Source organism: Homo sapiens, chromosome 6 (assembly GCF_000001405.40).
Source record: "Homo sapiens chromosome 6, GRCh38.p14 Primary Assembly".
Lineage (NCBI taxonomy): Eukaryota > Metazoa > Chordata > Mammalia > Primates > Hominidae > Homo > Homo sapiens.
Window position 1 is genome coordinate 43,427,541 of NC_000006.12, and position 19,914 is coordinate 43,447,454.

Genomic DNA, 19,914 nt, shown 5'->3' on the forward strand with positions numbered 1-19,914 from the left:
AGCATATGGGCGTGGCGAATAGCGCCGGCTAGGTCTTCCAACCTCTAGGTGGGGTGCCAGCCGGGGCGGGCCCAGCACCCCGGCCGGGCAGTACTTTTTTTTTTTTTGCATACACCAGTTCTCAGGATATCGGAATCCGGTGCACAGCAGCTTCTTCAGGTTTGAGGTTCCGGATGCCTGGGGGCGGAGAAACGGGAGGGGAAAAACAGATGGCAAGGTGGGTGACCAGCGTCCAGAAATCCACTGGGGAAACCTCCTCCCGTTTTTACCCTTGGTACCGCGAGAATGGGCGGGGTCTGGCTTCGGGGCGGAAGCGACGGGCGGTCCCGGTTCCAGGGCGGGGCTGGAGACAGGGAGACCCGGCTGGGAAGTGCAGGCAAAGCCGGCTGTTACCCTGCACAGCCGTCACCCTCAACTTTCCCTTCAGGTGAGGCGTCCATGGAACGACTTCTGGCCCAGCTGTGCGGCAGCAGCGCAGCGTGGCCGCTCCCGCTGTGGGAGGGGGACACCACAGGCCACTGCTTCACCCAGCTGGTGCTCAGCGCCCTGCCCCACGCGCTCCTCGCCGTGCTCAGTGCCTGTTACTTGGGCACCCCGAGGTGGGTAGAGACGGGCGCAAGGCATCTGTCCATGTGTGCCTGCAGATCTCACCCGCGGCCTACATCTTCCGGCAGTGTCACCAGAATAGCGAGGTCTCTGGAGTAGGGCAGAAGTAGAATAAAATCTAAGCATTGCTACTTAGCAGCAATGTGGCTGTTCTTGGGCAAGTACCTGCCTTCTCTGAGTCTCATTGTTGGGAGGTTTAAATGAGATAATGAATTTAAGCATATAGTGCAGCGCCTGGCATGTTTTTAAAGGTCCGATGAGTATCAGAAATCATCAGAATTGTCCATTTTCAGCTACCCGGACTCAGCTGTCATGAATTGGAGGCAGAATTGGGGGAACAACGTTTTTAGCCAAAAGCGATGATGTGTTTAAGTTGTAGGCTCAGTTTCTCACCACTGCAACCCATGAAACCTTAGTGTTTCCAGATTAAGAAAAGCATACCTAGGCTCAGCTGAAGAGGAAGCAGTAGATAGACAAGAAGAGCAAAATCAAACATTAAGCCTTCCCCAATTAAGGGCTATAAGGTGTGGATGCTAAACTCAACTTGATTTTGTATTTAGTTCTTGTATGGCTAGAGATGACTAAAGTTAGTCTCATTCTGGCTGCCGAGAAGATAGGAGGACGGTGTGGTCTCTGCCTTTGGGAGTTCCTAGTCTGATGGGGGGAAGTGTCTCTATCCAAGAGGTCTTTCTTGCTTTCTCATTAGACTGAGTTCCCAAAAGACTGTGCCAATTTTTAATAGCTGCTCTTCTGAGAAGGCTGTCTATGCTAGGTGATTAAACCCTTCTAGACTTTTGTCTCTGTGTAAGAAACAAATCAGGATTCCTCCCAGACCAAGCGGATACACAGCTTCTCCTATCCAAGGAAGGGATTCATCCGCCCCCTGGGAAAGCAAGAAAGACCATCATGTGATCAATAGAAATTGTGCTTCACTTCACTTATCAGCCTTGTGTGTGTTGCTGAGAAGGGTTAGAGAGATCGAGAATCTAAGACAGGAAAGGGCCTCAGAAGGCTTTAACTTGAGACTCACTGCTCACCATACTGGTGAGGAAAGTGAGATTCAGAGAGGAAAAGAGACTTGAAGGGGTGATGAGGCTGGTTGATGGCCAACTTGGGGCCAGTTTATGCCTCCAAGGGCCCAGTGTTCTTTCTTGGGTCCCCACATCTTAGGAAATATATATATTTTTTTCTTTTCCTTCTTTCTTTTCTTTCTTTCTTTTCTTTCTTGTGTGTGTGTGTGTGTGTGTGTGTGTGTGTGTGTGTGGCGGGGGGGAGGGGGGATTGTTATTGTTGTTTTGTTTTTTGAGGCAGCGTCTCCCTCTGTTGCCCAGGCTGAAGTACAGTGGTGCAATCACAGTTCACTGCAGCCTCAACCTCCTGGGCTCCAGCAACCTCTCACCTCAGCCTTTTGATTTGCTGGGGCCACAAGTGCATGCCACCACACCTGGCTAATTTTTTTAAAAATTATTTTTAATAGGCCGGGTGCAGTGGCTCAAGCCTGTAATGCCAGCACTGTAGGAGGCCAGGAGTTCGAGACCAGCCTGCCAACGTGGCAGAATGCCATCTCTACTAAAAATACAAAAAATTGGCCGGGCCCAGTGGCTCATGCCTGTAATCCCAGCACTTTGGGAGGCTGAGACAGGCAGATCACTGGAGGTCAGGAGTTTGAAACCAGCCTGGTCAACATGGTGAAACCCCATCTTGAATCGCTTGAACCCAGGAGGCAGAGGTTGTGGTGCGCCAAGATTGCACCACTGCACTCCAGCCTGGACGACAAAGCGAGACTCTGTCTCAAAAAGAAAAAATTATTTTTAGTAGAGACAAGGCCTTGCTTTGTTGTCCAGGCTGGTCTTGAACTCTTGGGCTCAAGCAATCCTTCTGCCTCAGCCTCCTAAAGTTCTGGGTTTACAAATGTGAGCCACCATGCCCAGCCAGAAATAGAAAAAAATTTTTTTTTTCTTTGAGACAGGGTCTTACTCTGTCACCCAGGCTGGAGAGCAGTGGCACGATCTCGGCCCACTGCAACCTCCACCTCTTGGGTTCAAGCGATTCTCCTGCCTTAGCCTCCAGAGTAGCTGAGACTACAGGCATGTGCCACCATGCCTGGCCAGTTTTCGTATTTTTACTAGAGATGGAGTTTCACTGTGTTACACAGGCTGGTCTTGAACTCCTGGCCTCAAGTGATCCACCTGCCTCTGCCTCCCAAAGTGCTGGGATTACAGGCTTGAGCCACCATGCCCAGCCCAGAAATAGAATTCTTAAAGGCTGATTTTTTATTCCCATCTAAATCCCTACAAATAACTGTCATCAGGTGGACTTTTAAGAAAACCCCCAGCTACTCGGGAGGCTGAGGCAGGGGAATCGCTTGAACCTGGGAGGCGGAGGTTGCAGCGAGCTGAGATCACGCCATTGCGCTCCAGCCTGGCGACAGAGCAAGACTCTGCATTTTAGCTTACAAGTAAACTTTTTTAGTAACCTAGCCGTGCCACAAAGGGTGTAACAGACTCAGTCCTCTTTTTGTATGAACTTTCAAGACATCCTGATACTCACTGCTGCAGATACGTTTTCCTGTATTTGATTCTTTTTTTTTTTTTTGGACAGAGTCTCTCTTTGTCACCCAGGCTGGAGTACAGTGGCACGATCTCAGCTCACTGCAACCTCCGCCTCCCAGGTTCAAGCGATTCTCGTGCCTCAGTGTCCCAAAGTAGCTGGGATTACAGGTGTGTGCCACCATTCCCTGCTAATTTTTGTATTTTTATTAGAGACCGGGTTTTACCATGTTGGCCAGGCTGGTCTCAAACTGCTGATCTCAAGTGATCTGCCTGCTTCAGCCTCCCAAAGTGCTGGGATTACGGGCATAAGCCACTGTGACCAGCCCCTGTATTTGATTCTTAATGCAGACAGATCACCTTTTGTTTATTAAAAACATTTTTTTATGCCAAGAAGATATAAACACAAGCAAAAAGAGATATTTTTCTTTAGCTAAAGGAGTCGCAAAAGCAATCCACACCACCTTCTATAATCAGTGGAAAGAGAGTAGAATATTCCAAGCCTTTATAAAGTTTAGGCTACCATATTAGAATATAAAAGCTGTATGTAAGTCCGATTTTTATTCATTTAATAGTGCTTCAGGTGAATTTAAGGGTACTGTTAGGTGGATCCTTTTGTAAAAATGAATATGTACCCTTTATCAGTTATCTGCATGAAAACTTTGGATTTTCTTTTTTTTCCTGAGACGGAGTCTTCCCCTGTCACCCAGGCTGGAGTGCATTGGCGTGATCTCAGCTCACTGCAACCTCCATCTCCCAGATTCAAGCGATTCTCCTGCCTCAGCCTCCTGAGTAGCTGGGATTGCAGGTGCCTGCCACCATGCCTGGCTAATTTTTGCATTTTTGGTAAAGATGGGGGTTTCACCATGTTGGCCAGGCTGGTCTCGAACTCCTAACCTCAGGCGATCCTCCCGTCTCAGCCTCCCAAAGTGCTAGGATTACAGGCGTGAGCCACGGCGCCCAGCCTGGATTTTTTTTAAAATTTTAGATTCATGAGGCATATGTGCTTGTTTGTTATTATACATGGATATATTATGTGATGCTGAAGTTTGGGCTTCTAATGATCCCATCACCAAAGTAGCAAACGTAGTACCCAGGATTTTTTTTTTCCTAGTTAGTCTTCATGTTAAGTACAATCTTACCTCAAAATTGTTAATGTCTGTGGTTTAAAAAAAAACATGAATCAGAAATGGTGTGGGTAGTTTAGAAAATGAGTTAGGTTCAGGTGGCCGGTTAGCTCAGTTGGTCAGAAAATGAGTTAGGTTCATCTGGGAAGACTTCCTGGGAGAAAAGACCCTGGGTTCTGAGGTAAAGTGGAGTAGGGATAAGATGTGCAAGGCAGGAAGGGAGTTGATTCCTTAGGTAAGTGAATTATTGGAGGTGAGGGGTATGTCTGGCTCCTGAGTCAGCCACGATGTGCCTCCTTGTCTTCCCCCTTGTCCCCAGGAGTCCAGATTACATCCTACCCTGCAGTCCTGGATGGCGCCTCCGACTTGCAGCTTCCTTCCTGCTTTCCGTCTTCCCGCTGCTAGACCTTCTTCCAGTTGCTTTGCCACCAGGGGCAGGCCCAGGACCCATAGGGCTAGAGGTGTTGGCAGGGTGCGTGGCAGCTGTGGCCTGGATCAGCCACAGCCTGGCCCTGTGGGTGTTGGCACATTCCCCTCATGGCCACTCCCGGGGTCCCTTGGCCTTGGCCCTGGTAGCCTTGCTGCCAGCTCCAGCCCTAGTGCTGACCGTGTTGTGGCATTGCCAGCGAGGCACACTTCTGCCCCCACTTCTCCCAGGGCCCATGGCCCGCCTATGCTTGCTCATCCTGCAGCTGGCTGCACTCTTGGCCTATGCACTGGGATGGGCAGCTCCTGGGGGACCACGAGAACCCTGGGCTCAGGAGCCCCTCCTGCCCGAGGATCAAGAACCTGAGGTGGCTGAAGATGGGGAGAGTTGGCTGTCACGCTTTTCCTATGCCTGGCTGGCACCCTTGCTGGCCCGTGGGGCCTGTGGAGAGCTCCGGCAGCCTCAGGACATTTGCCGCCTCCCCCACAGACTGCAGCCAACCTACCTGGCTCGTGTCTTCCAGGCACACTGGCAGGAGGGGGCACGGCTGTGGAGGGCCTTGTATGGGGCCTTTGGACGGTGCTATCTGGCACTTGGACTGCTGAAGCTGGTGGGGACCATGTTGGGATTCTCAGGGCCCCTGTTGCTCTCCCTACTGGTGGGCTTCCTGGAAGAGGGGCAGGAGCCACTAAGCCACGGCCTGCTCTATGCTCTGGGGCTAGCCGGTGGGGCTGTGCTGGGTGCTGTGCTGCAGAATCAGTATGGGTATGAGGTATATAAGGTAACACTTCAGGCACGGGGGGCTGTGCTGAACATCCTGTACTGCAAGGCTTTACAGCTGGGGCCCAGCCGCCCTCCTACTGGGGAGGCCCTGAACCTACTAGGCACTGACTCTGAACGGCTGCTTAACTTTGCTGGGAGCTTCCATGAAGCCTGGGGCCTGCCCCTGCAACTGGCCATCACCCTCTACCTGCTGTACCAGCAGGTAGGCGTGGCCTTCGTGGGTGGTCTCATCTTGGCACTGCTGCTGGTACCCGTCAACAAAGTGATTGCCACCCGCATCATGGCCAGCAACCAGGAAATGCTACAGCACAAGGATGCGCGGGTTAAGGTGAGCGGGTACTTGGGGTCCCTCAGCTATCTGGAGACCCCACCCAGCCCAGGTCCCCAGGTCTTCCCATGCACACTACCTGAGGGAGTGAGAGTGACCTCAAAGTTAAGAGCTGAGACTGGAGAAAGGTAGACCTGGGTTCAAATCCTGGCTCTACACTTACTGGTTCAATCACTTCAGACAAGTCACTTAACCTATTTGGGCTTCCCCTTCCTCATCTGTAAAGTGAGAATAGTAGTAGCTTACCTTGTAGAGTTGTAAGGATCTCATGAGATAATGCTTAGTGTAGTGCCAGTCACAAAGTAAGCTCTGAATACATGTGGCCACCCTGGGAGGTAGGAAGTCATCTGTCTGGCTCCAAACAGGTCTTTAGGGCCAGAGCTGGGACCCAAGTCTCCAACCTCCTTATCTAGGGCACAGACCACCCCATGGCTGCATGTAGAGACCTAGGAGAACCTCAGCTGCCTCTTTGGGTAGGCTGAGGGGAAGGGAATAGGTCACTTTCCTGCCTGGGTCAACTCCAGGTGTTTAGGGTTTGGCTGAATCTGCAGAGCTCTGGGTTCTGCAGTGATTGTGGGTACCTTCACAAAGGGGATGGCAGTCCTGGGGGTTCATACAGCATAGTTGTCGACCCTTAGTGGAACAGCTCAGAGTGCTCCTGGAGGGAAGGGAGGTTGATAGATGGTTATGGCATGAGGCATTTTCCCCTACCTGTGACAGCTACAGACGAGGAGTTTTGGCCCTTGCCCATCTTCCCTGGGCCCATTAGCCTGTTTGACCCTGGGCTGTAGTGTGGCCTCTTATGCCTGTGTACTTCTACAGGAATAGTTTCTGTGCCACTCAAGCCGGGGGCCGGAACTGGGGGGCCAGCCCCCGAAGCCCACATCTTTTGGTTTTGGGAGATAGCCCTTTGTCCCTCATCTAATGGGAGGAGAGCTTTTACTCCACTGTGGTGACCTGGCTCCACCTTCCACCACTCCTCCTAGGAAGGTGGGGAATTCCCACTCCAAGCTGTCCCCAGCTGGAGCAAATGGAGAAGTAAGAGACTGGGAGGGGAAGCAACCCAGGGCTGAAAAGGATTTGAAGGGCAGGATTTCCAGAAAGTACTGAGGTGAGGAAGAAAACCAAGACTAGGGCAGTGCAGAGTATCTGGGAGCTTAGAGTACTGAACATTCTGCCAGCAGCCTGGGGAAGGCTTGGCAGGGAAGACACATGAGCAGTGCCTCCACTTCACGCCTCTCCCTTGTCTCCTTTCCCTAGCTTGTGACAGAGCTGCTGAGTGGCATTCGGGTCATCAAGTTCTGCGGGTGGGAGCAGGCACTGGGAGCCCGAGTAGAGGCCTGCCGGGCTCGAGAGCTGGGGCGACTCCGGGTCATCAAATACCTGGATGCGGCCTGTGTATACCTGTGGGCTGCCCTACCGGTTGTCATCTCCATCGTTATCTTCATCACCTATGTCCTCATGGGGCACCAGCTCACTGCCACCAAGGTGAGGACCAGGAAGGAAGGGGACCAGCATCAAGGAGACTTCAGCGAAGTGAAGACAGAGGCTTGGGCCCTCAGTGCTGGCTGAGAAGGAGGGAGGGATCCCTGACTGCCTCATCTCTCAACCAAGGGAAAACTGAAGAAACCTTTTTGTGGGGGCCTTGGATATATAACCCTCCCCTCTGTGAAGGAGTTCCTTTCTTTCCTCTCCTCTACCTTTCACTCCAGCTTCTATTCAGTTCCAGGCTTGGGGTTAGGTCTCTTCATCCTCGTTCTAATGGCCTTAGGAAAAAAATGTATGATGCAATCCTGGGTCTAGCCAAGGCCAGGTGATGTTGCTACTTGGAAATTCTAAAAAAAAGACTCAAAATGAGCTAGGCCTGCCTAGTTAAAAAGATGCAACCTTGGCCAGGCGTGGTGGCTCACACCTGTAATTCCAGCACTTTGGGAGGCCAAGGCAGGCGGATCACCTGATGTCAGGAGTTCGAGACCAGCCTGACCAACATGGTGAAACCTTGTCTCTACTAAAAATATAAAAATTAACCAGGTGTGGTGATGCATGCCTGTGATCCCAGCTACTCAGGAGGCTAGGGTAGGAGAATCACTTGAACCCTGGAGGTGGAAGTTGCAGTGAGCCGAGATTATGCCACTGCACTCCAGCTTAGGTGACAGAGCAAGACTCGTCAAGAAAAAAAAAAATGCAACCTGAATCCCTTGAGGAACATTGGAATTTCTAGGATTCTTTAAGTGACCATCTCTGCCACATCTGATCCCAGGATTGGCCAGCCAGCCCTTCAGTTCTGTCATTGCCCAGTTCTTCCCTCCGTAGACCTGTCCACAGGGCTTCCCATAGAAACAGGCCCTTAGATAACTCCTGGGGCTTCACCCTGCACCCACCTCACTCAGGTGTTCACGGCCCTGGCACTGGTGCGAATGCTCATTCTTCCTCTCAACAACTTCCCTTGGGTGATCAATGGTCTCCTGGAGGCCAAAGTGTCCTTGGACCGGATCCAGCTTTTCCTCGACCTTCCAAACCACAACCCCCAGGCCTACTACAGCCCAGGTAATGGGAAGCTAGTGGGCAGAACCTGGCACAGGGTGAGGAGGGAAGTGGAGCCACTTGGGTGCTGCGCATAGATGTCACCAAGAGGGCTTAGAGAGAGCGGAATCCAAAACAGACTCATTTAGCTTTGGGCAGGTAGATATGGGGCTGGCAAGTGAATTACATGATTTACCCTCCCCAAACAGATTGTGGTAGATTAGGAGCCCAAATCAAGTGGCTTCTCTGTTCAGATCCCCCTGCAGAGCCATCTACAGTATTGGAGCTGCATGGAGCCTTGTTCTCCTGGGACCCAGTTGGAACCAGCCTGGAGACCTTCATCAGTCATCTCGAAGTGAAAAAGGTTTGTTGGACAGACACCCTGGGAGAGTCCTCAGACTAACGAGAGAGATGGGAACTCATGTCAGAGAAGCAGTGACCGAGCCAATCATAGCTGATGGCTCTGCAGCTCTAATTGCTGCAGGAGGGATAGGCATTTGGTGAGCAGGTTCTAATCATGAGGAGATGACACCTCACATCTGAATCTCAGAATAGTTGCACCTCTCTCTGGTCTTTAGGCAGCTTGTATCCATCCAGTCCAGACCAATGGGTGTGCTTGTCTCTCCATGTCCCTCAGAAGCTGCAGCATTCAGAACAGGCCCTGGGGTTTATGTAGCATCTCCCCCAGATTGGGGATCTGGGGGAGAGGCCCAGCAAGTGCTTCCAAGAAATATTTTGCAAATGGGGATCCTCTGTTTAGGCTGGTGAAAAGCAATCACACCCTGTGACTCATGCTACAGCATACAAAGAACTTAAAATGGGGCATTCCTGGCAATAAGCCAACTCCTGTTCACCTCCTGTTCTGAGTTTTCACTCTCTCCTGACCTTTGTCCAACCCTGTGCCCCACAGCTCAACCCGGCATTCTCTGGTGGTGGCTGAATTGCCTCCACCACATTTGGCTCACGTTTCTGGCTTGGGCTGTATGTTTTGTTTTTCCTCTTAGTTCAGGCAAGACAAGGCTAGATTTGTACAAAGGAATTTTGCTAATGTGTTAGTTGGGGCTTTTTTGGGTATAAGTTACAGAAACACACTAGAGCTAGCTTAAGCAAACAAGAATTTATAATAAGGATGTAGAGATACATTGCAGAATCCAAAGGCAGGAACGCAGCTGGATCTTAGAAACAGCCCAGAACCAGGCCTCAACTCGCAGAGCTCTCTGCTTCTGTGTGCCTCTCTCCCTGTATTTGCCTGGTTCTCTTCTCTCTGTGGACACACCCTCCACTGAGCAGAAGATGTGACTACAGAGAATGCTCGAGTTTACAAGTTACAGCCAACAAGGAGAAGCTGCCTCTGGGACCTGATCCCAAATTCCCATGGAAAGGTCTCAGAAGTGGTGCCCACTTGTAGCTGGGTCAACCCTGGCTGGCAGGGTTGGGGCATCACAGGCAGATAGAGCTTCTGAGAGCCCAGTCCCTTCTAGAGAAGGAACTAGGACTTTTTTTTTTTTATATTTTTTTGAGCAGGGAGATAGCTCCATGAACATATGACCAAAAAAAAAAAAAAAAAAAAAAAAGGTAAACAGAAAAATTTAAGCCACAGAAATAGGGATCTATGCAAAGCTCTGCTTTTTCCCCTGAGATATGGTAACTCTAGCCACAGGTCGACTTAGCCAACCCATCATCCAGGCCCTAAAGCCTGGAATTCTACCCTTCCCTCTCCCGTTCTGGAGTGCCTGTCTCAGAGTTTACCTTGGAAGTTCTTGGGTGGTTTCCTCCCATTCTCTCTGGCATGCTGCTCCCCTTCAGAGGCCCTTCACATAGACAGTGAAACTGATAGCCACTCTGAGTGGAGAAAAAAACACCCTACTTTTCTAGAGCCTGATTTGTTGATCAGCCTGTGAAGCGGAGAATTCTTTCCCTACACACTAAAGAAAGAAGAAAAGAGAAGCCTCAGTGGGAGGACTGGCAGCCCAGAGTGTCAAGAGGGAGACCACTGCCACCTCTGTCCTGTCTCCTACCAATAGCAGATGCTTGTGTGGCTTCCTTGCAGGGTATGCTGGTGGGCATCGTGGGGAAGGTCGGCTGTGGGAAGAGCTCCCTGCTGGCTGCCATCGCTGGAGAGCTCCACAGGTAACCAACCTCCTATGCACCCCTGTCCTTACTTTGTCCTTTAGCAAACACTGAGCCCCTCTTATGTGTTGGACACCTTTTGGGGGTCAGGGGTACTAAGAAGAGCAACGCATGGTCCCTTTATTGGGAGAGTTTTCAATCTGGAAAGAAGGAGGTGGCCAAGAAAGCGAATCATTGTAATCATTACACCAGAGTGTTTTAAATGCTATAATAGTCAGCAAAGGAATGGAAACATCCAGTGTCAGCTATTCTTTCAGAAATGTGGCTGTGCAGAGAAGGGATCCAGAGAGGAGCATAGGTTTGAGGGAGGACCTTGTTTTCAGATGGGAACAAGTACAATGTGGTGGCCATACTCTCCACTGAGCTCCTGAACAGATGTAAGTACAACAGCTGCTTGGCTGTAGCCAAAGAGCTATTTCTTCCCTTCTTCGCCCAGAATGGGCTTCATTAGGACCCCTTGACCTCAGGAGCTGCCATCTCAGTCATGTGACATGAAGGGGGACCCTGTGTAGAAGACAGCAGCCTGGGGAGGCTTCTAGGAGTCAAGGGCTGGGCATGGAGGGACCCAGAGGAGAGCTGGTCCTCATATTGCTCGCCTGGCTCTCTGCAGGCTGCGTGGGCATGTGGCAGTGCGGGGGCTGTCCAAGGGCTTTGGCCTGGCCACCCAGGAACCCTGGATCCAGTTTGCCACCATCCGAGACAACATCCTCTTTGGGAAGACATTTGATGCACAGCTGTACAAGGAGGTGCTAGAAGCCTGCGCCCTCAATGATGACCTCAGTGTGAGTGCCTGGCCTTGAAACCTCTTAGCTGCCTGTTTCTCCAGTGTCCCTGACACCTCAAACCAGGAGCTTTGCTTTTCTGGAAAGGGGTTGCTTCTACTCGGGCATCACTTATCTAGGAATGGCCATCGGACTGTGGTCCTCCCAGAGTGTCCAGCTGCCCCTTCTGATAGGGCCCAGTAGGGTGGTGACTGTGTGTTCTGCACAGTTGTGGGAAGAGCCCTAAGGCCTCTGGAGCTAGGGAGGGTTCCACCTGTGGGGCTTAGCTCTGCACAGCCTGGCTCCTTGTCCCCTTCTCCATACCCACTTCCCACTGGGAAGGCTTGGAAGAGTCAAAGTTTCATTTGGTTGCAGGTTACCCTAGGGAAACCTGCCAAGCTATTAGATTTCCCCTTGCCCCCAGTCCAGAGTACTATATTTATAGGAGAAGAGATTCCAGATTTCTCCCTTGACTTCCCACCCAACCCTGCTGTCCCCTTCAGAAATGTCACCACCACTACCCTACCCAGGTAAATGTGGAATGTCCCTGAAAAGGAGCACTTTTAACCTTGACCATGGGGCATTCTGTATCCAGCTGTCATTCTTTTTATTACTTTTTTAAAATTGATTAATTTTTTTTTTTTTGAGACAGGGTCTTTTTTCTGTCCCCCAGGCTGGAATGCAGTGGCGCCATCTTGGCTCACTGCAGCCTCTGCCTCCCGGGCTCAAATGATCCTCCCACCTCAGCCCCTCAAGTGGCTGGGACTACAGGAGTGAGCCACCACACCCAGCTAATTTTCGTTTTGTTTTGTTTTGTTTTGTGTTTTTGAGACGGAGTCTCACTGTGTTGCCAGGCTGGAGTGCAGTGGCACAATCTCGGCTCACTGCAACCTCCGCCTCCTGGATTCAAGCGATTCTCCTGCCTCAGCCTCTCGAGTAGCTGGGACTACAGCTGCGTGCCACCATGCCCAGCTAATTTTTGTATTTCTAGTAGAAACAGGGTTTCACCATGTTGGCCAGAATGGTCTCCATCTCCTGACCTTGTGATCTGCCCACCTTGGCCTCCCAAGGTGCTGGGATTACAGGCGTGAGCCACCGCGCCTGGCCTACTACCCTGTCTTTTTAACAGTCAAGGTAGTAAGATATCTTGGGCAGATTTTATGTAAAAGCTTTTATAGGTTTTTACTTTTTCGTGTGTGTGAGACAGAGTCTTGCTCTGTCGCTCAGGCTGGAGTGCAGTGGAATGATCTCGGCTTACTGCAACCTTTGCCGCTCGGGTTCAAGTAATTCTCTTGCCTCAGCCTCCTGAGTAGCTGGGACTACAGGTGTAAGCTGCCACGCCTGCCTAATTTTTGTATTTTTAGTAGAGATGGGGTTTCACCATGTTGCCCAGGCTGGTCTCGAACTGTTGGGCTCAAGTGATCCGCCCGCCTTGGCCTCCCAAAGTGCTGGGATTACAGGCGTGAGCCACTGTGCCCGGCCCAGCTTTCGTAGGTTTTTAGAGAAGGAATGTACTACCTCTAAGGCTTCTTGTGGCCTCAGGAATGGGCTACTAAGCAAAGGGATTCCCTTCCTCACGCAGAGGAAGCACCCGTGATCCACTAGATGGTGAGTCCCCTGAGCTAAAAGCTTTGTTGTTCATCTCTTTCCTTAGTGCCTACAACAGTACCTAGGACCTAGCAGACTTGGGAAAGCAATGAATGATTGGCCAGGCGTGGTGGCTCATGCCTGTAATCCTAGCATTTTGGGAGGCCAAGGAGGGTGGATCGCTTGAGGTCAGGAGTTCAAGACCACCCAGGGCAGCCAGGCTTAACAGTGGTGGCTCACGCCTGTAATCCCAGCACTTTGGAAGTCCAAGGTGGGCAGATCATGAGGTCAGGAGTTCGAGACCAGCCTGGCCAACATGGTGAAACCCCATCTCTACTAAAAATACAAAAAATAGCTGGGCGTGGTCGTGGGCACCTGTAATCCCAGCTACTCGGGAGGCTGAGGCAGGAGAATCTAGCTTGAACCCAGGAGGCGGAGGTTTCAGTGAGCCAAGATCGCGCCATTGTACTCCAGCCTGTGCAACAGAGTGAGACTCCGTCTCAAAAAAAAAAAAATACCAGACCACCCAGGGCAATATGGTAAAATCTCTTCTCTACAAAAAAAAAAAACAAACAAACAAAAAAAACAAAAATTAGCTGGGTGTCATGGCTCACACCTGTAGTCCTAGCTACTCTGGAGGCTGAGGCAGGAGAATTGCATGAACCCGAGAGGCGGAGGTTGCAGTGAGCTGAGATCATGCCACTGCACTCCAGCCTGGGCGACAGAGCAAGACTCTGTCTCACACACACAAAAAAGTAAAAACCTATAAAAGCTTTTACATCAAATCTGCCCAAGATACCTTACTACCTTGCCTGTTAAAAAGACAGGGTAATAGGCCAGGCACGGTGGCTCACGCCTATAATCCCAGCACTTTGGGAGGCCAAGGTGGGTGGATCACAAGGTCAGGAGATCGAGACCATCCTGGCTAACATGGTGAAACCCCGTCTCTACTAAAAATGCAAAAATTAGCTGGGCATGGTGGCACACGCCTGTAGTCCCAGCTACTCGAGAGGCTGAGGCAGGAAAATCGCTTGAACCCAGGAGGTGGAGGTTTCAGTGAGCTGAGATTGTGCCACTGCACTCCAGCCTGGCGACAGAGCGAGACTCCGTCTCAAAAAAAAAAAAGGGTAGTAAATGTAACAAAGTAGTTAAGAATCTGAATCTGAACTTGTGTCCTGCCCCTTACTAGCTGTGGGCCAGCTAGTTAATCTGTCTGAGCTTTGGTTGCACCTGAGAAAAGGAAATGATACCATCTTCATAAGATTACATTGGGGCTTGAATGAGAGAATGCCTGTAAAGTGCTAGGCACATAGTGTTCAATAAGTGCTTGATGTTATTGGAATTATGTCTTGTCTCCTCTGACTAGCTCACCCCAAATTTAAGTCTACTCTCCTCAAGCTCCCTACTTCTCTTGACTCCCACTATCTCCTGCAAAGGGATAGGAAGTGGGCCAGAAGGTAATGGGAGCTCCCTGACCCACTGGGGCACCTGTTCCATCAGATCCTGCCTGCTGGAGACCAGACAGAGGTGGGGGAGAAGGGTGTCACCCTTAGCGGAGGACAGCGTGCCCGGATTGCCCTTGCTCGTGCTGTCTACCAGGTCAGTTAAAGATGGAGGTTGCAGTGGCAGGGAGGTGGGGGGAGTCCAGAGCCTTGGGAACTTGGCTGAGTTAGGAGGATAGGAATATTTTCCTTAGCATCTGGTTCCTTCCCTCCTCCCTTGCATGTTCCTGAGGTATTGGCCATCTCATCCCCTTTTGCAGATTTAAGGCAGAGTTCAAGGCCTTTAAAAAGTATTTGTAGGCTGGGCATGGTGGCTTAGGTCTGTAATCCCAGCACTTTGGGAGGCCAAGGCAGGAGGATTGCTTGGGCCCAGGAGTTTAAGATCAGCCTGGGCAATGTGGCAAAACCCTGTCTCTACAAAAAATAATTTTAAAAAGTTAGTTGGTGTAATCCTAGCACTTTGAGAGGCCGAGGAGGGTGGATCACTTGAGGTCAGGAGTTCGAGACCAGCTGGGCCAACATGGTGAAACCCCATCGCTACTGAAAAACATACAAAAATTAGCTGGGCATAGTGGCACATGCCTGTAATTCCAGCTACTCGGGAGGCTGAGGCAGGAGAATCGCTTGAACCCGAGAGGCAGAGGTTGCAGTGAGCCAAGATCACACCATTGCACTCCAGCCTGGGTGATGAGAATGAAACCCTGTCTCCAAAAAAATTTAGCTGGGCTTGATAGCATGCACCTGTAGTCCCAGCTACTCAGGAGGCTGAGGTGGGAAGGATCACTTGAGCCTGGGAAATTGAGGCTGCAGTGAGTGGTGTTCATGCCACTGCACTCCAGCCTGGGCAACAGAGCAAGACCATGTCTCAAAAAAAAAAAAAAGTGTTATATGGGCTGAGGGCCTGGGACCTAGGAAAGCTGAGTGCTGGCCCTGGGGTGCTGTTCTTTCTTGCCTGAAGGGATGTCCACCCTCAGGTCTCACCTCCTTCTCTGCTAGTGTAGGGGTAGCCCCCAGAGTTTCTCTCAACTGTCTTCTCTGATCACTTTGAGATCTTCTCCGGAGAGCCTTTGGGTCCTGGTGCCCACGGTACCCTCACGTCTCCATAGGAAAAGGAGCTCTATCTCCTCGATGACCCTCTGGCCGCTGTGGATGCAGATGTGGCCAACCACCTGCTGCACAGGTGCATCCTGGGCATGCTGAGCTACACCACACGGCTGCTCTGCACCCACCGCACTGAGTACCTGGAGAGGGCTGACGCGGTGCTGCTGATGGAGGCCGGGCGCCTCATCCGGGCTGGTAATGGGGGCAGGAGCCCCGTGTGAGGGAGGTGTCTGCCCAGGTCTGGCAGGGGATTGTGAAGTACAGACTCTGCCCCCTGCTGCATGTGTGCCCTGAGCCAGTCATTGCTGCCTCCCGCCTTCACAGAACTGGTGTGAGGAACTGGGAGAACAGGAGGGAAAAGGAGTACGTTGGTAAAATGCCAGTGTATTTGGGACTCATGGGCTTTGTGACTGGGTGCTCTTGGGAACTTAAAGGCCCAGGGTCTCTGAGAACATTCTCATATCTTCAGAGAAGAGAAAGGAGTCAGGTTTAGAATGGTCTTTTTGTAAAAACAAAAATTTTTAAACTCTGAAAGATTTTTATGCAGAGGGATGTGACCACCTGCAAGTTTACTGGGAGAGAAATAGGAGGAAATGAAGCTCCAGCCAGATATTAGGAATTGAGCGAAGCATGAGAAAAAGCTCTGCAGTAATGAGAAGTAACCCTGGACAGAGTGGCAGGCATAGCTCTGGCGGTCCTCTTGGGGATGGACATTCGTCCCTCTCTGCTGGTCGGAATCAAGGTTTACAAGGATGGACTTGAGTCCTGCTCGAGGTCTAGGGGTATCCAGAGCAGGGTGGGTTAGAGAGGGAGGCCTAAGAGTCCTGCTCGAGGTCTAGGGGTATCCTGCTAGGGTGGGTTAGACGGGGAGGCCTGAGAGGATGAGAGGTGGGATCTGCACACGCACTGAGAAAGGCATAGTATAGACTCAGAACAGTCCTCTCCCAATCTCCCCTTCTACCCTCCAGGACCTCCCTCTGAGATTCTGCCACTGGTACAAGCTGTCCCCAAAGCCTGGGCTGAGAATGGACAAGAGTCTGACTCAGGTATGGCTCCCCAGTGGGAGAAAAGGGCTTGCTTTTCCCTGCCACACTGTAGAGCTTTTTCTACAACGGCTGCCCGCTCCTCTGAAATACTGAGTTTTCAGCTGGCACCCTGCAAGCTTAATTCTTCCATGACCCCTGATTCTCACAGCCACAGCCCAGTCAGTACAGAACCCAGAGAAAACAAAGGAGGGGCTGGAGGAGGAGCAGAGCACATCTGGTCGCCTGCTGCAGGAAGAAAGCAAGAAGGAGGGCGCCGTGGCCTTGCACGTGTACCAAGCTTACTGGAAGGCCGTGGGCCAGGGCTTGGCCTTAGCCATCCTCTTCTCTCTGCTTCTCATGCAAGGTGAGAGCGTGCCTGGGAGTCTCTTACATCGTAACGGCTGTGCTGTCTAGGTGCCCATTACCTTGCACTAATCATTACAAAGCCCAGAGACTCACCAAGCATGGGTCACAGCTGGGACAAAAGCCATACTCCTAATTCTGAGAGATGCCCAGGGGCCAGAGGCATGTGCTCTATAGCTGGCTTCTGTTCTGCCCCCTAGGTTAGCTCCCATTCTGCAAGTCTGAGATCCTGTTCTCCCCAGAGCTGAAGGGTGACGGGCCTATGAGAGAAGCCCACACTAGGGAGGATATGGGGTAGTGGCAGGGTGGGGAGGCCAGGCCAGGCGGATGGAGATGGGCAGGAACCAGAGGCAAGGGCGGAGAAAGGGGGCATTGGAATAGAATGAACAAGGGAGAGGAGCCTCTTACAGCTTTTTCCTTCCTGTCCCCACCCAGCCACGCGGAACGCTGCTGACTGGTGGCTCTCCCACTGGATCTCTCAGCTGAAGGCTGAGAATAGCTCCCAGGAGGCGCAACCCTCCACCAGCCCAGCTTCTATGGGGCTCTTCTCTCCGCAGCTGCTCCTCTTTTCCCCTGGAAACCTCTAGTGAGTGGCTGGGGCTGGGGGTAGGCCTGGTGCTCTCAGAGTGGTCGCCAGGCAGGGAGTGAGGGTTGTGGCCGGTATTCCAGATGCTGTGACTTCTGGAGGGTGGGAGAGATGGCATGGGGGAGGAGAAAGGACCCCCGAGTGGCCCTAGTTTTGGTTACCGACAGCCCCCTCCTCACCACCCAGCATCCCAGTGTTCCCACTGCCCAAAGCTGCCCCCAATGGCTCCTCAGACATCCGTTTCTACCTCACCGTGTATGCGACCATTGCTGGTGTAAATTCCCTCTGCACCCTTCTCCGGGCAGTGCTCTTTGCAGCAGGCACCCTTCAAGCAGCTGCCACTCTGCATCGCCGCCTGCTGCATCGAGTCCTTATGGTGAGGGGCTGGGACCTCGGGGGTAGGGGAGTGCAGTCCTAGCCCCTGTGGAGTGTCCTCCCAATACTCGGGCTCCACTGGGGATGGGAGAGTCTTTCCTGCCCTGGGATATTCTTCCTCAACCTCTGCCAATCTCTCTTCTCTGCCCCCAAATTCTGGGGATATTTTAGTCCTTCCCTATTCTCTATCTTGGGCCTTCCCCTCCACCCCACCTCCCCCAGTGCTGCCTGCCAACCCCTCTTCTGCCAGACTCTGCCCTGGCCCAATCAGCGTCCTTCTCCCAGGCACCAGTGACTTTCTTCAATGCCACACCCACGGGCCGGATCCTAAACCGCTTCTCCTCTGATGTGGCCTGTGCGGATGACAGCCTGCCCTTCATCCTCAACATCCTCCTGGCCAACGCGGCAGGCCTGCTGGGGCTCCTGGCCGTGCTGGGCTCTGGCCTGCCCTGGCTGCTGCTCCTGCTGCCGCCTTTGAGCATCATGTACTATCACGTGCAGCGCCACTACAGGGCCTCCTCACGGGAGCTGCGGCGCCTGGGCAGCCTCACCCTGTCTCCACTGTATAGCCATCTGGCCGATACCTTGGCTGGCCTCTCTGTGCTCCGGGCCACAGGGGCCACCTACAGGTGTGTGAACCAGAGCCCAGGGGGATGAGGTGTTGGGGGGAGAGGAAAAGAGAGACCCCCAAGAAGAGGAATATGCAGGGTATGGTTGGTTCAGCCCTCCTGGGGACAAGGGATGGGGAAGGAGGAAAGCAACAGAAGAAGGAGATAGGGAGGCAGAGTGGACCCCCACTTTGAAAGAGCACACTGGCATCTGCAGCCCTGAGGGAGGCCTGTGGGTATACAGACCAGCTCCCAAGAAGGAGCTGCTCAATAAGGGCCTTCCCTGTTGAGGCCCTGAGGCTGGGTGGCTCAGGGCAACAGTGGAGTGGCTTCACATCCCTCTGGCCTTCCCTAGGTTTGAGGAGGAGAACCTGCGACTCCTTGAGCTAAACCAGAGGTGCCAGTTTGCCACCAGTGCCACAATGCAGTGGCTGGACATTCGGCTACAGCTCATGGGGGCGGCAGTGGTCAGCGCTATCGCAGGCATCGCTCTGGTGCAGCACCAGCAGGGCCTCGCTAACCCAGGTGCCACCCAGGACCCCTCACCCCTACCTCATCCACAAGTTAGTCCACCGCTCTCCCAGATCTCTCCCTGCACCATCCCCCCAACATTTTCACCTCCCACCCAGGGTTCCCTGTGAGGATGTATCATGATTATCATCATCACCCCCGTTTGGAGTTGAGGAGACAATCCCCAGGAGGGACTTGCCCAGGTGGTGGTGGCTTGGGGACTAGAATGAGTCTTCTGAGCTGCTGGTCTCAGTCCCTTCCCTGCTTCCACCCCGTCCCCACCACACTGCCCCAGCCCGCTTCAGTCTCCCACATGCCGTCCCTCCCAGCTTCTCCAGGCCCACCCCCTGCCCTGCATCTGGCCTCCTGTGCTCCTGGCTAGGTCCTATCACCCTCCTGCTTCTCTGTTGCTTTTTTGTTTTGTTTTTTTTTTTGAGATGGAGTCTCGCTCTGTTGCCCAGGCTGGAGTGCAGTGGCACGATCTCGGCTCACTGCAACCTCTGCCTCCTGGGTTCAAGCAATTCTCCTGTCTCAGCCTCCCAAGTAGCTGGGATTACAGGCGCCTGCCACCACGCCCAGCTAATTTTTGTATTTTTAGTAGAGACAGGGTTTCACCATGTTGGCCAGGCTGGTCTCAAACTCCTGACCTCGTGATCCACCTGCCTTGGCCTCCCAAAGTGCTGGAATTACAGGCGTGAGCCACCGCGCCCAGCCTCTGTTGCTTCCTTTAAATGCCAGCAGTCCACAGCCTGGGGAGTCTCCCACAAACGTCCCGGTGTCCAAGCTCTCCCAGCAGCTGGTACTTCTCTCCCCCAGGGCTGGTGGGCTTGTCGCTGTCTTATGCCCTGTCCCTGACGGGCCTGCTCTCGGGCCTGGTGAGCAGCTTCACACAGACAGAGGCCATGCTGGTGAGCGTCGAGCGGCTGGAAGAGTACACCTGTGACCTGCCCCAGGAACCCCAGGGCCAGCCACTGCAGGTGGGCCTGTACCCCCACCCCAGGCCAAAGCTCTGGAACCCTGAAG

At 52.5% G+C, this 19,914-nt stretch overlaps 1 protein-coding gene and 1 non-coding gene across 19 annotated transcripts in view, besides 1 other annotated feature; both read left to right on the forward strand.

Moving 5' to 3' along the window:
* ABCC10 (ATP binding cassette subfamily C member 10) overlaps nucleotides 1-19,914 on the forward strand; it is a 24,454-nt gene continuing 4,540 nt past the window's right edge. For 6 of the 18 annotated variants that reach the window (XR_007059383.1, XM_047419496.1, XM_047419497.1 and 3 more), the window contains exons 1-16: nucleotides 323-599; nucleotides 4,602-5,820; nucleotides 7,081-7,308; nucleotides 8,211-8,367; nucleotides 8,598-8,707; nucleotides 10,394-10,473; nucleotides 11,084-11,255; nucleotides 14,322-14,420; nucleotides 15,430-15,619; nucleotides 16,393-16,470; nucleotides 16,619-16,813; nucleotides 17,248-17,398; nucleotides 17,585-17,774; nucleotides 18,059-18,402; nucleotides 18,737-18,906; nucleotides 19,708-19,868. Coding sequence is in view for 15 of the 18 variants with exons in the window: in XM_047419496.1 (XP_047275452.1) it covers nucleotides 439-599; nucleotides 4,602-5,820; nucleotides 7,081-7,308; nucleotides 8,211-8,367; nucleotides 8,598-8,707; nucleotides 10,394-10,473; nucleotides 11,084-11,255; nucleotides 14,322-14,420; nucleotides 15,430-15,619; nucleotides 16,393-16,470; nucleotides 16,619-16,813; nucleotides 17,248-17,398; nucleotides 17,585-17,774; nucleotides 18,059-18,402; nucleotides 18,737-18,906; nucleotides 19,708-19,868 (3,705 nt within the window). In the remaining 3 variants the exon portion in view is untranslated. The other 12 variants (NM_001198934.2, XM_047419495.1, NM_001350518.2 and 9 more) reach the window with 12 other exon arrangements.
* Nucleotides 578-647: an enhancer, noted in NCBI's record as "active region_24600". NCBI's record gives its function as "activates an Ori minimal core promoter by ATAC-STARR-seq in GM12878 lymphoblastoid cells {active_cell/tissue: GM12878}" and the evidence as "EXISTENCE:reporter gene assay evidence [ECO:0000049][PMID:35858748]".
* Nucleotides 7,002-7,080, forward strand: MIR6780B (microRNA 6780b). The gene has a single exon (NR_106894.1). It is a non-coding gene; the product is annotated as a microRNA 6780b (primary transcript).